The sequence below is a fragment of the Homo sapiens genome, chromosome 1, assembly GCF_000001405.40.
Source record: "Homo sapiens chromosome 1, GRCh38.p14 Primary Assembly".
NCBI classification, from domain to species: Eukaryota; Metazoa; Chordata; class Mammalia; order Primates; family Hominidae; genus Homo; species Homo sapiens.
The window spans coordinates 64,872,303-64,888,275 of NC_000001.11; the positions used below are offsets into that span (position 1 = coordinate 64,872,303).

At 42.0% G+C, this 15,973-nt stretch overlaps 1 protein-coding gene across 12 annotated transcripts in view, besides 2 other annotated features; it reads right to left on the reverse strand.

Annotated features, from left to right (window-relative positions):
• The window catches only part of JAK1 (Janus kinase 1), a 234,518-nt gene that overhangs the window by 39,074 nt on the left and 179,471 nt on the right, over positions 1–15,973 (reverse strand). For all 12 annotated transcript variants that reach the window (XM_047419676.1, NM_001321852.2, NM_001321854.2 and 9 more), the window contains 4 exons: positions 13,957–14,039; positions 10,975–11,173; positions 6,723–6,846; positions 1,068–1,221 (listed from right to left, as the gene is read on the reverse strand). In XM_047419676.1, the coding sequence (XP_047275632.1) occupies positions 1,068–1,221; positions 6,723–6,846; positions 10,975–11,173; positions 13,957–13,962 (483 nt within the window). In that variant the 5' untranslated portion in view covers positions 13,963–14,039. The remainder of the gene's footprint in view (positions 1–1,067; positions 1,222–6,722; positions 6,847–10,974; positions 11,174–13,956; positions 14,040–15,973) is intronic.
• Positions 10,453–10,632: an enhancer, noted in NCBI's record as "active region_1131". NCBI's record gives its function as "activates an Ori minimal core promoter by ATAC-STARR-seq in GM12878 lymphoblastoid cells {active_cell/tissue: GM12878}" and the evidence as "EXISTENCE:reporter gene assay evidence [ECO:0000049][PMID:35858748]".
• Positions 10,953–11,122: an enhancer, noted in NCBI's record as "active region_1132". NCBI's record gives its function as "activates an Ori minimal core promoter by ATAC-STARR-seq in GM12878 lymphoblastoid cells {active_cell/tissue: GM12878}" and the evidence as "EXISTENCE:reporter gene assay evidence [ECO:0000049][PMID:35858748]".

Genomic DNA, 15,973 nt, shown 5'->3' on the forward strand with positions numbered 1-15,973 from the left:
GCTGAGACACTCTACATGGAAGAAATAGTCCCCCACCCCTCTCTTAGAATTGCAGATTCCTTTTTATTCTTCAGGATTCATTATAAATGTTACCTCCTTAGAGAGACCTTCTCTGATCATATGATTTAAATTAGGTCTTCCCATTCAAACCCCCCTGTCCATATTCTCTATTGCAAGCTTCTGCTTTCACAGTACTTTCCATAATTTCTTACGTATTATCTATGTATCATTTTATTTGCTTGTTTTCTAACTTGATGTACATCTGATGCATGCAGAGGCCATGTCTGTCTTGTTCACTCCAGCATCTCCAGCATCTTAGCAGGTACAAGTGCCTGAGGCAAATAGTACGCAGACATCCAGTCAATATTTGTTGAATAAATGAATTGTTACAAAGTCATTAAAACAACGAAGATCAATATTTTAATTGACATTTGAAGGACAAACAATAAAAAAAATCAGATGAATAAAAAAGCAGTTTACAAAACAAAATGAACCATAAAATATTTTCAAAATCTATACAGTATCTAAATTTGCATGTTAAAATCAGGAAGCATACTACTAAAAATCTTAGCAATCTCAGAGTAAATGTAATTTCAGGTGATTCTACCTTCTCTTTTGTTTTTTTTCTAGCGTCTAATCTTTCTATCCTACCACCAGTGACAGAGTGGCCATCTCCTTCCTCCCCAGACATTACTACGGCTGCTGAGAAGTGCCTTCTTCAGCCCTGTTGAATTACATCTTCTAACAAGCAGAGCTTCCCTCTGACCTCTGCACATAAGGCTATTAATACGGATGAAAAATAAAATGGTAGGAGGTGGGGAAAAGGAAAGGAATAGGAAAGAAAGGAAGCCCCAAAGCCCACAAGCTGGATAACCAGCCTCTTGGAAAGCTGAAATGCTGCCTTTTTTCTCCTCACTTGGGGCAAGTCCAGGTGTGGCAAGAACTTACCCAGAACAGGCCTTAAAGCACTCTAGCACCACCAAGTTCAGCTGCAGCAGGGGGTCTGAGCTCTACAATGCCTCTCCCATCCCACAAACTCCAGCTTCTCCTGGGCCCAAACTTCCTACCTGAGCAAACAGATACTCCAGTGAGCTGGCATCAAGGAGAGGGGTTGCATCTGGAATCTTTTTTTTCTCGTAGCCATTTTTCTGCTTCTTTGGAGAATGACGCCACACTGACTGCTCATTGTCGTTGGTTCCATGCCAATTGGTGAAATAGAACCTGGAAGGCAGGAAAATGAATGCCAATTGTGGCAAAGGGGACCCAGATGTGGGCAGGGCGTCCTGGCTCACCAACAGTGGTCAGTGCCGGAGGCTGAAGTGCCCTGAGAAGCAGGCAGACAACCCTGCCCCTTGTAGCCCCTCACCATCTCTTTCCTTCTTACTAGCGCTGCGTGAGAAGTGTCCCATCAGCACCTCCTCTATGACTCAGGGAGCTAAAGTGACTTCCCGAAGATCACAAAGACAGCTCCTCTGACTTCTCACTATGCTTCCAGAATAGGGAAACACCTGCTGACTGGAACTCCATGCTGACCACAGCTCCCTGCACGCTTACCATCAGCCACACTGCTAAGCCCATTCTACCTCGAATCCAAGACCAATTTGATTGACATTTTAACATTCCTGCAACTTAGTTTCATCACGCAATCAAGATATACAGCTTACGTGGCAGTGTTTCCTACTTCCCAGATTGCTGCTATTCAACTGATGGTGTATCTTACATGATGAATAGGATTTTAAAAGAGAGCTACCCAAACACCACTACAGGCATCATGAAACGAGTTAACAAGCACTTTATATATATTATGTTATTTAATCTTCACAGCAACTCTACAAGGAAGGTTTCATTCATTTTACAGATGAGGAAAACTGAGATTCCAAGAGGCTAGGTGACCTAAAACTACAAAAGCCTGTTCTCTTAACTACTACAGTTGACCCTTGAACAGCATGGGTTTGAACCACAGAAGTCCATTCATACACAGATTTTTTTTTCAATAAGTATATTGAAAATTTTTTTGGAGATTTGCAACAGTTTGAAAAAACTGACGAACTGTGTAGCACAGAAATTTTTTTTTTTTAATTTCAGAAAAAGGTACATCATGAATACATAAGATATATACAGGTTACTAGTCTGTTTATGTTATTGGTAAGGCTTCCAGTCAACAGTGGGCTATTATTATTAGCTATGTTTTGGAGGGTCAAAGTTATGCATGGATTGTCAATTGCACAGGGGGTTGGTGCCCCTAACCCTACCTTCCATATATAACTTCCTCTGTCACCTGTAAGAAAAACACAATTTCTGGAATGTGTGGAAGTGACTAAGGGAAGTGACTGAGCCAAGCCAGCCCAGGCCATCTGTAGGCTACAGACTCAGCTGCTACCTAGGTCTCTTTCCCTTGACTTGCCCATGAACTAATGAGAAAAGAACCATGTCATGGAGAAGCAATAAATACAACTCCCTCTTTCCCTGCAAAAAGCTGCTGCTACACTTCAACAACTGTCACTGTGCTATGTTTGCAGAGCCTAAGACAAGCCAGGCCCTGAGTTAGGGCCTGAGATGTGGAGGGCTCTCAGGCATGTTTCTCGTACTCTGTGAGTTCCTGTCTCTGGGAGCAACCGGTCAGGTCCAGCAGCAACTATCCAGCAACACACAATGGGGCACGTATCACAAGCAGGACTACACTGTGACTTCCATAGGCCCTAAACACTTTTCCCTTCCTCCATAAAAAATATTACAAGTTATATTTCTCAACTATGTTTTCTGATTTTAAGTGAAATTAGACATTTTATGGGCCCCTAACAAGTGTGTGCTCTAGGCACTGTGCTTAAAGGATAAGTTGTCCTTGGACATATGACAGTCTCTGGCGAGGTGCCGAGGAGACAGGTCGCCCTCCATTGCCAGGGGAGGTGGCAGGAGGGGAAAAAGCACCAAGGAAGGGAAGCTGGAACAGAATAATTAAATGCCAGGCTACAGAGCCTGGACCATGCAAAGCAGGCAGAGCAAAGAACGAAAGCCAGGCACATATGAGGCACGCTCTCCTGGGAGGGAAGCCCCATGGAAGATAGAAACGGAAGCGGCAGAGAGAAGCAGATGCCTGTGGCATCATTCGAGCAATGCCGTGAGCTGTGCACGGAAGCAAAGGCTGCAGCTGTCCTGCTCACCACTGAATCCCAGTGCCTGGTACCTAACAGCTACTGAACACATGCTTGATAGATAAACAAAAGATGAATAAACTCAGGGAGTAGCAATTAACATGGAAAGGATAAACAAAGAAGTTACTTTAAAGGTAAAAACCAACATTTTTATAATCTTCAATGATTCTATACAGCCCATCTTCCTTGTAATTTACGAAAGTGACTGAGAATTTGACTGTGGGCTTTGGTGTCTCTCTCACACACAGAAAGAATCACACATCTGCAGAGCCACGGGCAGCATGAGCCACGTCAGGCCTCTGAAGCTGCTGGACTGTTCCCTTACCCTCCGCTGGTGACAGTGGAAAGCTAGGGCTATCAGCTGGCAGGGAGGCTGCCACTCATGCTGTACCCAGGCCTGGCACTGCTCTTCAAGGGTAGAACAGAACACGTGCCCAGGAGAACTTAGCCACGATCCTCTCCCTGGGACAAGCAGGAAGGAAGGAGTGAACCAGCTACAGAGGTTCAAAGAGGGGTTCTGACAGAATGGCCAACAGGAGGGGTAAATGCTGTTTGATGGCGGAGGAAGGCAGTAATAAGAGAATGAGAAGTAGGTACAATATGGAAGGTTTCCCGAGATAAGGAAAGAAAAGGGTTCCGAGGATGGAGGGTGTTGTCCAAGAGAGAAGAATCTCTGATGAGGTGCCAAGGAGAGAGACAGGTCACCCTCCACTGCCAGGGGAGGTGGCAGGAGGGGAAAAGGCAGATGTTCCCTGAGCCAACGGAGCCACGGCCTTCTTCTTCCACATCCTACTGAGTCTCTGTGAGAAACAGTCCTTGGATCTGGTAGAGATGAGGGCCCAACAAACTCCCTCTGGGCAGAACACAATCTTCAATCTGGTCTGAACAACGATATTCTTCCAGGCTGCTGAGAGCCCTGTGGGACCATCTTTGTCTTGGAAGCCTTTAGGTCAGATACTCAGACAGCATCAGGCTGAGGAGACCAAACATAATGTGTAGCTTCTCCACTGGAACAAAGGCTAAAGGTAAACAGAAGATGAGGGAGCCTAAAATAAGGCCGGCAGCTTTCTCCTTAATAAGATGTCAAAAATATTAACAAAATTTTAAATCCATGACTACCAGAATCAGTACCCTCCCTATCACCCATAAGACCAAGCTTGAAGACACACTGAAGACAGACATTCCACACACCTTTTTAAAATTAATTATAAAGGTGCTCATCAAACCTGGTACACAAAAATTCCAGATACTATAGCATGCCAATGGAAAAAAAATTAAAAATGACATCAATAAATGTAGAATGATACCTGCCTATATTCCTTTTCAAAATGACGTGGAGGAACAAAGCAGGAAGAAAGGAGAAAGAAAAAAAAGACAAATAGACATCAATCAGAGCTACGCACTGCAAGTTTTTGAGAAAATTATGTACAGATAACTGCATATTTTAAGTTTATATGCAGATATTATACACAACAAACTCTCTTTAGGCTTCTATAAAATGTTTTAATGGACTGTGAAATTCAATTGTTTAAAAAAGCAAGAAAATATTTTTTGAAAAGGAATACAGAATATGGTTGTCTTATGCTAAGATATATATATAAGAGCTTGGTGTTCTCATCATACGGGGCAAAGAGGTTGTGACAAAGAGGAGAGATACCTGAGGATAACTATGATTACCCAACAACTATCAAAAGCATTATCTAAAAACAGAAAACGATAATTGAAATACAAGAATATTTCCCAAAGTAAAACTGGTACTCCACTGAAATCATCACCAACATTTATTTTCATTTACGCCTCCTTTAGTGGTGAGATTATGAGGTTTCAAAATCTTTGTAGTTTGTCATCAGGCAAATGTTTTAGCTTAGGGTGGTATTTTTTTTTTCCAAGTTCAAAGGGCCTGTGGTAACAAAGCAATATCCTGTTGAAGCACCATGTCAGGTACAGAGTCAAGGTGCTAAAAGTGAAGCAACCCTGCACTTCCAGGCAGCTAACAGAAAGAGGGAACAGGCAAAGACAGCCTTTAATAGCCAGGCACTCAGACAACCAAGACTAATGCCTCAAAGAGCTCTACAATGCCTCAATTGTAAAGCTAATCAGACAATTCACTAGATGTAATTTTTGGGTTAACTCTCTTCCCTTTTCTGGGTATTAGTTTTTCCACTGAAAAAAAAATGAAAGAGTTGAATTAGGTAACTTTGGTCTTTTCCAATCCTAAAAGCTACCATTCTAGACTCTGAGCTGAGTACAGAAACCTAGAGGGAAAGAATTAGAACCCAGGGACATACCCCTTCCAGACTTCAAACTGCAACAACCCATTTCAATGCTGATCACACAGCCAATCCCCAGGCCACAAAAAGCAAGATTACATGTGGAAAAACAAAGCCAATAGCCAGAAGGCTCAGCTGGGACCTGAAATCTCCACGGCACACAGCTTTCCTCTCCAGGTGAGACTTTGGTTAAGCATAGAAAGAAGAGGAAAAAGTCAGCCCTAGGATGATTATCAAAGAAAGTTAGATCTGGTTCAGTGTCCACTGAGAAAAACATCCCAGTCATTGTGTAATGGTGACAACTCCACCAAATTCTCCCAAAAATAGTAGCTATGATACTGTGAAGTCTCCGAGATTTCAGAGGGCTTTTCTAGCAAATCCCTGCATTCTATTAGCATCTGAGCTTATCTACTGTTTTAATACCTCTGTAAGTTAACCTGCTTTTCAAAAAGGATCCACCCTATTTATAATCTCCACTGCTAAACACACATTAACTTCTGCTTAGCAAGTATGTAACTAACATATTTTCCATTCTAGTTACTGAACAAATATGTTTACAAACTCAGGAGACTGCAGCTATTGAAGTACTGACTGTCTGTGTCACCTGTGACATTTCTCAAAGTCTGCAATATGGGAGAAAAGGCAGGTGCCCATCAGAAGAAAAATTACAGCTCCACAGCCAAAAATCCTCAAGGAGTAGTCAAAACATCCACTCCCAGAGAGCAAGGCCAACCTAGAATTTCTAGTTAACACTTCAGGCAATGTTTCTCGAGCTTTTTAGTTGCAACTTTTAGTAAGAAAAATATTTTATATCATGACCTTTATATATATAGTGTGTATATATATATATATATATATATATATATATATATATATATATATCTCAAAAGTTTAAAAAATATACTTAGGTTATGTATATATGCTGATAGTATCGTCTCCTGTTTCTTTTTCTTAAATTCACTAAATTAAATTGAATTCATAACTGTGAATCCACTAAATTAAATTCATAACTATGATTACCCATTTGAAAAACTCTGCTGTAGGACACTAATTCTATTCAAAATATCCTCTGCCTTATCAAGATTTCTTTTCTAAAATGTGGCAGAGGAAGGTGATCAAACTCATCTTGAATTGTATTCCAAATACTGAAGAAGTCCTTTCTCACATCAAGCAAATACAAAAGTTACAAATTACAAAAATGACTACAATACTTCTTGGTAAGTGACTCAGGGCTCCAGGCTGACCACTGTCCCTCAGTGCAGAGGGAGCCAGGCAGGTACCAGGTCAGTACTTCCCATACCTCATCCGGTAGTGGAGCCGGAGGGACATCTTGTCATCAACGGTGATGGTGCGATTTGGAGCATACCAGAGCTTGGTGTTCTCGTCATACAGGGCAAAGAGGTTGTGACAAAGAGGAGAGATACCTGAGGAAAAGTAAAAAAACACATCAGAAAATCAAGGCGGATACATTTGGCCATCTGTTTCTAAACCCAATATATGCAAAGATAAGGAACTCTCTCATCCACAAAGAATCTGGGTCACTCATATCCTCTTAGGGCAAACAGACTTCCGACCAGGTTCGGTCAGGCTGTTTTGATCATAATCATCAAGAACTATGACTCCCCAGAAATATGCACTGTAGCTCCTGGCAAACCAAATTTAGATCATTTAAAAATAAAACTCTGATGATATTTCTCATTACAGGTATCCGTCACAGAGCCTTATCAAATCCAGCTTCAAAAAAACCCCTATCTGAGAGGTTCACAGATCCTGCCTGATGTGCACTTTGCTAATCGGAAACACTCTGGGAGTTGGGGAAATCTTCCATCTGTTTCCTACAGAAAGCACTTAAACAATTCTAACACGCTCGTGATTATACATCAGACATGCAAACAAATTCCTGGCAGTAGTATGCAAAATGCATATTAGAATAAATAATAACCAAAGTGATTTTTGTCAGTGATTAAAATCTATTACCATTAATAATAAATATACTTCTTAAGTACTCTGTATGATTATCACAAATATTTTTTATTTAGTAACCAACTAGCAAGAAGATATATGGCTTCACAAAGCTGGCCCAACAGTGCTCCCCTGCCTCTCCACTCCACCAGTTGCCTCCGTCAATAAGAGAATGATGGGAAAGACCAGGGAGATTATGAAGTCACTCACTTCTACGCCCATGATTAAAATTTTATGAACCTGAAACATAGGCAGGTTGGGGGGAGAATGACTGCCAATAATCAGCTATTACTGATATTTTCATAAGCAGCCAGGCCTCAAACTAAGATGAGGTAAACTTAAATGACAAAAAACCTGGGAGAATATGAGGTAATAGGCACTTGTTTCCCAAATCGGACATCTGCAGTGAGACTGACACTGACAGGGCCCCCTCCCTGGCCCAGCACACCCAGGCGGGGACTCTCTCCAACGCAGACACTGAGTTAAGAAGCTACAGATACCTTGGCAGCTATCTAGTGCTCTCCTGAACACCTCAATCCATGCTTCTCAAGCAATATGAACAGTTACCCTTCAGAAGTTATAGTCTTTCTTATAAACCGAGAATATGGAGTTAAACTGTAAAGGGAAGTTTTCCTTGGGAACATAGGCAAATGGCTTTTGGATTCAGTATTATTAGGACAAATAATTCAAATATGCTATAGATTTTCATTCATAAAGTGGCTTTTGTGGACTGGGCTGGAAACCCAGCCTTTCTTTATGCATATCCACATTTGAATGTGCACCAACACTTACATATCTGAAGTGTAACTTATTTTAACCATGGAACTGTCTGTAATTCTAACACAGGTCTGATTCTAACAGTATTACTACCCATAAACAGAAAGATCAAAGACATATCTCTTTATATAAAAGTACTGAGTAGTAAAACAATAATACTAACATTTACTGAGGGCTAAGTGTCAGGCATCAGGCAAACAGACTCTAAATTTATTATCTTGGCCGGGCAAAGTGGCTCAGGCCTATAATATTCTCAGCACTGTGGGAGGCCCAGGCAGGCAGATCGCTTGAAGTCAGGAGTTCAAGACCAGCCTGGCCAACATGGTGAAACCCCACAGCCAGGCGTGGTGGTGTGCACCTGTAATCCCAGCTATTCGGGAGGCTAAGGCAGGAGAATCGCTTGAACCTGGGAGGTGGAGGTAGTAGTGAGCCAAGATCATGCCACTGCACTCCTAGGTGACAGAGAAAGACTCTGTCTCAAACAAACAAACAAACAAATAAATAAATAAATAAATAATTTTTTGGCTGAGTTTGGTGGCTCACACCTGTAATCCCAAAACTTCAGGAGGCTAAAGCAGGAGGATCACTTGAGGTCAAGAGTTCGACACCAGCCTGGGCAACATATCAAGACCTCCATAAATAATAAAAATGAGCCAGGCATGGTGGCACATGCCTGTAGTCATAGTTACTTGGGAGGCTAAGACTGGAGGACCTTTTGAGCCCAGGAGGTCACAGTTATAGTGAGCTATGATGGAACCACTGCACTCCAGTCTAGGGGACAGAGCAAGACCCCATCTCTAAAAAATATTAAAATTTTAAATTTAAAAAAAAGTATTACCCTTTAATCCTCCTAATATCTAATGAGGTAAATACTATTTTGACCATCTTGCAGACAAAGAATCTGTGGTCTCCTGAGATTTAGTATGATTCAAGGTTACTCATCTAGTAAAATGCAGAGCTGAGAATCAAACCAAGACACAGCTACTGAGGGGGTGAATCAATGAGAACTAAACAAAACTTTACCCCACAGAGGTGAAAAACAGGAAAGAAAACAATACTGCCCTCAAACATCACTTTCTGTAGTAACAGTGAGAGCTACAAGAACCTGTGGCATTCAGTATGTATTTCTGAAATTGATGAGTTTCTGCAATATTCTGTTGAGCCAGTTACAGAAGAGACACCACTCATTTTCTATAAGGTAGGCTAGAAACCGACACCCCAAACTGGCTGACCCTAAGCCCAGAGTTATAGGAGGTCCAGCGACTGTGTCCATCCTCAGACTCACAGGCTCTCTCCTCTCATCTCTTTCCCAGCAGCTCCTTGGTCCCTCATTAACAGCAGCCCAATGACTCTGCAACAATGACCTTTGCTTACAAACTGAGTGAGGTTTATACCTGCTGTGCTGATGGCAAGAAGCTTGGCGAAGAGAATAAACAATATAAACCAAATCTCAAGGGGAAAGGGAGAAAACAAAAAAACAAAGCCTTAAAAAAAACTTTAGAACCACTGATTTACATCTAGGTGTTCTGATAATTACAAACACACTTAAAGCTGCTGTCTAAAGATGGTTATTTGTACACATTGCGGCCTAGTCAAAATAACTTGACAATATTACTGGATTTTTCCCACTAATAATCTATACACCTCAGCCCATTTTATTCTGTGTCAGGTTTAGTCAGTAAGAGCCTACTACGCTCTTCCCCATACCATAAGCCTCTCCCCTTTTCCTGAAACTCTGGTGTGTGAAGATTTTAGGCAGAAAGACAAATATCAGAAAGAAGGTAGGTTTTCTAAACAAGCTGTACTACTAACAAGATAAGCAATTCTTAAAATAACCAACCTATCCCCTCAGAGTTGTTCTGAGGGTTAAAGGTGGGATAAGTAAAGTAGGGATCAGGCTGTACGGCATCATAAATGGCTACTTCATCATCATAAAACGAGTTGATAGAACCTTTTTAAAACAGCTTTGAGATATAATTTACATATTATAAAATTCACCAATTTTTAAGTGTACAATTCAACAGATTCTAGTGTATTTACTCAGTTGTACAACCATCATCACAATCCAAGTGGATTAGATCTGTGATTTAACTTAATTTCTATGATTTAACTTGTCATTTAAAATCAGGCAAGCAAAAACTGCCAATGTCCTCAAGTTCAAAGGATGAAAGGGACTTTGGTTTCCCACCTTCTGAGGGCAACAGGCTAACTTTAAGACAACTCTCACTTGAAAGGAGAAAAAAAAGCTTGTGTTGTTGAGAGCCTCGTCCTTTTCACAACTTGGGAACTTGACTAAGCCACAAAGCAACACTCAGCTTCTCACTTCAACTCAGCACCACGCATGGGAGGGCAGTCACGGCAGCAGAAGGAGGGGTCAAACTTTTTAGGAGAAGTTTCGAATAATTATTAAGATATTGAGATACGCTACTTGCTGAGCAGGGACTTAGTCCCAGGTGTTTTACGTAGCACCTCATCTAGTGCTGATATTATTCCAATTGTACAGATGTGGGGAAATGAGAACTGAGCCTGGATCCACAGAAGTCAAGCGTCATCCCCTGGTATCTTATAGTTCATTAGTGACGGAGCAGAAAGAAGCCACTCTGCAGATGAAGAAAGTGAAAAGCGAAACCCTCAGAATTAGAATCACTGGCCTAAGGTCACGTGCAAGTGGCAGTGGCAGAGGCAGGGAGGAACCTGACTCCAGAGTCCACAACTCTTTCTGCCCAGCAGCGCTACAAGGGGCAGAGACCCCCAGATCTTCTGAACTAGTGTGTTGGTGAAACCCCCAGCCCTGGGCAGCTGCCAGTACTCACGGCATGCCTGTGCAGCCCTGATGCACAGTTCCTCTGCTGTGTACTCTCCACTGCCCAGCCGGAGGGGCTCCCTGTCCGACAGATAGAAGATCACTTCCACCCCTGGCTCAGGGGCCTCCAGGTTCACCTCAGTCTTCTTGGAGCTCCTCATTTTAGCACAGAAAGCCATGGCATTGCAGTCCTCTTTTATATTTAGATACTGTTGTGGAAGGAAAACAAGACTATGTGGTCACTCTATGTGCTAAAAGTTCTTATGGCAAAAGGGAGTGTTCTGAAGGTAAAAAAGCAGAAACATTTGGTGTTGGTATTGGATACGTACCTCTCCCCTGCCCCTTCCCTTCCTGGAAACCAAACATGTCAGATCTCATAAGAGATGAAACCATGGAAAATAATTATGCATACTAATTAATGAATTGTAATTTATTAATTATGTATTTTTGAAAATATGGTCAGACCATATTTTCAAAAATCAGAATAATTTTAGACATGGCCTGAATTTATTTTCTCCATTTGCACCCAAGTTGTAATTGAAAAATGTAGCCCATTCTGGAACCAACAATGTTAAAGGACTGATTATTAGTTACAAATTCTGCTGCTGTTTCTACTGGAATCACATAAGCTTTGAACAGACTTATGGCAAGAATCAGCATTTTAATTTCATGTCCATCTCCCACTAAAAAGCAAGCATGGTGAGGGCATGAACCGTATCTTATCTCTCTTCACATCCCCACCTGAGACACTGCACACAAAATGATGACCAATTCATGTTCATAAGTCACATGGAAGGGCCATAACAATTAATGAATGGAGCCTGGTTCCTACCACCCCAGGAGGAGCGGCAGGACTTTGACGCAGCACCAGGAGGGCAGGAGGAGGCCTTACTTTGGAACAGTTAGAAAACCCTGGTGAAAAGTGCGTAAGTAAGTAATTCACATAAGCACCCTCCAAAGGGAGAGCACCTAGGGCCAAAGAACCAACCTCAGCAACTTAGCCTTGGGCAAGGCCAGAAAGGAGGAAAGAAATGAGGGAAAGCCCTACACATTCTTTCTTCTTCTTGCCCAATACCAATGGGCTACAAACTAATTCGCTGACCCCACACTCCTACTACTTTCTTCCTGTCTGCCAAGCCAACCTTCACTTAAACCCCTAAAGTAATTTCTCCATAACACATACCAGATCCTCCAAGGGCTTCCCATTAATCTACAGAGCAATTCTGAGACTCTGAAACAGAGCCCTGCTCCATCATCTGGCCGGCCAGCCTTCCTCACCTTATCTTCTATCACTCTGAGCTTCTTGCTTCATGCTTGAAACCCACAAGGCTGTCAGTGTTACTGTATCCTCCCCTACCCAATGCTACTTCTCACCCTCCTGCCTTCACTCACACTGATTCCTCTATAGGAATATCTTTCTACCTTATCCCTTGCATGGCAAACTTCAACTTTCTTTAGAATTCAGCTCAGATATCGCCTCCTGCAGGAAGCCATCTCTGAACCTCCATCCCATTCCCTAAGGCCCTCGCTTCTTGCTCCTAAACTTATCCCACTGCACTAGCCACAGGAAATTTAAGCATCTTATGCACATGCTGTGAGTTCCTTGAGATAAGAACTGAGTCATTTTTCTCTATATCCGTAAGAAGCACAGAGGCTTACACATAATGGGTGCTTGCAGAATGACCCAAGGAGGCTCCCCCAAACAAGAAAAGTCATACAGGGCAGACAGCAGTCACAGTTCTCTTCACCAAATTCATTTGCTTGGTCTATTAGCTCCCCTGGTGAGGAGAGATTCTGAAAAGAGGGACATTAACCAGATATGCCTCAATGCTACAAACTGAGAGGTATTCAATTTTAACTGTTTAATTTCCAAATAAATCTGAAGACCAGAATCTTCTGGAAACCAGCCTGAAACAGTTAGTTCATAATTAACCTTGAAATTCAGATCAACAAGCAAGACCACTTGAAAACCCAGCACTGAACCCCTAACCCCATCCCACATTGAAAAACTGTGATGGAAAACAGAGTAGCTAAAAGCCTGCTTCATAATGTAAGATAAACCTTTGTCCTTGAGAGTCTTTATAGACGTGACAGGGGAAGAATCCAAAGACAGTGTTGCACCCTCTAACTCTAAGGAAATAAACAGGCAAATGCATGTAATTATATATTTACAGGATGTCACATTGTTTGAAATATGAAAAAATCGGCTGGGTGTGGTGGCTCATGCCTGTAATCCCAGCACTTTGGGAGGCCAAGGCGGGCGGATCACGAGGTCACGAGATTGAGACCAGCCTGACCAACATGGTGAAACCCCTGTCTCCACTAAAAATAGAAAAATTAGCTGGGCGTGGTGGCATGCGCCTGTAATCCCACCTACTCGGGAGGCTGAGACAGGAGAATTGCTTGAACCTGGGAAAGCGGAGGTTGCCGCGAGCCGAGATCACACCACTGCACTCCAGCCTGGTGACAGAGCAAGAGTCCGACTCAAAAAAAAAAAAGAAATAAGAAAAAAATCCAACTGACAATGTCCAGTAGGAGAGGACTCACTAAACAAAACAGGCAGGACTACTATGTGGCTGTCAAAAAGGATAACATAAAGCTGCATATGAATCAACACAGAAAGATGCACAGGACATTCTGCAAAATGAAAAAAGCATAATATGGATAGTATGATCATGCATATGCACAACATGTATAATATGATTATGCACATGCATATTAAAATCTAGAAGAACGTACAATAAATTCTTAATAGTGGTGAACATCTAGGAGAGATTACAAGGGAAGTTTAACTTTTACTCTGTACCTCCTATACTTTTGTATTTGAGGTTTTTTTTAACCAGCATACTCAACATTGGGAATGAATAAATACATCAATTTCAAAAAATTAAAGGCAATAGCACCAATAGCCCTACAGCCTCAAGAACACGGTTTCATCAATTTTTTTAAAGCCAGATATTTTCCTTTTTTAAAAATATGCAAATCTACATACCTGCATTTATTCAGCTGTCCAGTGTTCTCCAAGAAGCAAACTGGATTTTCTTCTCTACTTTCCAAAGCTACTTCAGAGAAGCGCTAAAGACAAAAATAAATAAATAAATCAGTGGCAGAGGTAATTGCATCTGAAAATAAGAGGGCATTTTCATTAAGGAAGCAGCCCAAACCATAAGCAGGCAAGAAAAAGCATTTGAGAGGAAGAAGGAAAAAAACAAAACAAAACAAAAAAATGGCCTAGGACATCGAGAGGACAGAGAGACATCTTAGGGTGCAAACATCAAAGAGGATACTAACTTCACCGCATCAAGAAAGGAAGCCAGGGATTTTTGCTTCCCGATATGGAGTGTCCTGTCCAATGTAAATGAAGATTGTGTGCTTTTTCCATCAACAGCCCCTCTCCTGATTGTGTGAACAATAGTTTAAGACACCCAAAAACGCGCACTTTAATTTCTCATTCCTTCTAGAATTACCCCGCCCCAACCTTGTCTACACACACACACACACACACACACACACACACACACACACAGAGCTTTGTATTATTTTAACAGCTTTCCTTGTTGCTTCTCACAAATTCTTTAACAGTAGAATCCAATTATTTTTGCAAATAATAAGCTACCAACCTTGGTGATTCAAAATTGGTTCTCAAATTAACAGTGATTATCACCTCAGTTTTCTGTCTGGCCACTCAACACATTTTATCAGAATCCAGTTTTAGGAAGAGCATAGTCCCAGGCATTACAGGGCAGCAGCGAAGGGGGAGAGGGAGATGGGTTACCTCTGAGGCCACGAGGCCAGCATCCCCACAGGGCCTTACAATAGAAGGTTGGAGACAGCACAAATGGAAACACAAAAGCAACCTAAAATCAATAGTGTGAGTGCGTCAGGATGTTGTTAGCTCTGGTGACTGACACTGGCAAGGGCTGGCTTGGGAAGGCTTTCTGCAGTGGGTAAGACTTAAGTAAAAGTAATGATGGAAAGCCCGGCAGGGGAGACAAGTATGAATTTGATTGTGATGACTTTGATTTGGCTATTTTGGTATGGCCAATTTTAACAAGATTAAAATCACTGCACAAAAGTTTTTTAAAAATTAATATAATCAATTGTTTTAATTATGTGAATAAACACCCTGCCCTGCCTCAGAACAGCACTTAGAAACTAGCTACATGCTAATGCCTTGCTTCTGCTCATAAGCAGGACTTCAGATGCTATACTTGTTGAAGAGATTCACTCTTTCAACAAGTATTTTCAAACAGCTCTGCAGAAACTAAGCTAATTCAAAGGACAAGGGCAATACGGTCCCTGCCTACGTGGAGCTTACAGTCAATGGGAAGAATGGAATCAAACTAAGATGTACAGAAAGAGGTCATTACAAAGAGCTAAAATGCTATGAAGGAAAAGTAGAGAACATAAAATAGAGGGAATGTGATCTGGTCTGGGGCTCAGGAGGGAAGGGACATTGAGTTAAGATGCAATGGATGTCCATGGAGGTGGGGCATGAAGCCAAAACGGAGATAGCAGTCTCAGCAAAAGGATCAGCATGTGTGGGGAAAAAGGTCCTATAGCAGAAAGGAGCTAGGCTTGTCTCTCCCGTTGCTTGAACAGGAAAACCTCACAATACTCCTTTTTACACTTGGGCACCCAACAGCACTAGCCAGTCCATAGGCAGTGCTTGCTAACTGCATGTCTGGAGCCTGTCTACCCCAGGTTTCCTCACAGCATACCGTTACCAGCTGCCAAGGATCAGTGAAAACTGACCAGAGGGGAGTACTGAAAAGCATGCCTCAAACCCGGAAAGGGTCACAACTCAGCCTTTTAGGACAGGAAGAGAACTGTAAGTTCCACCAGGCCCAGGCTCCATTCAGAAGGGCTACCATATAAACCTTTTTAGAACTTACAAAGGTGTTTTTCTGTTGTTGTTTTGTTTTGTTTTGTTTGAGCCTAAGTCTCACTCTGTCGCCAGGCTGGAGTGCAGTGGCATGATCTCAGCTCACTGCAACCTCTGCCTCCCA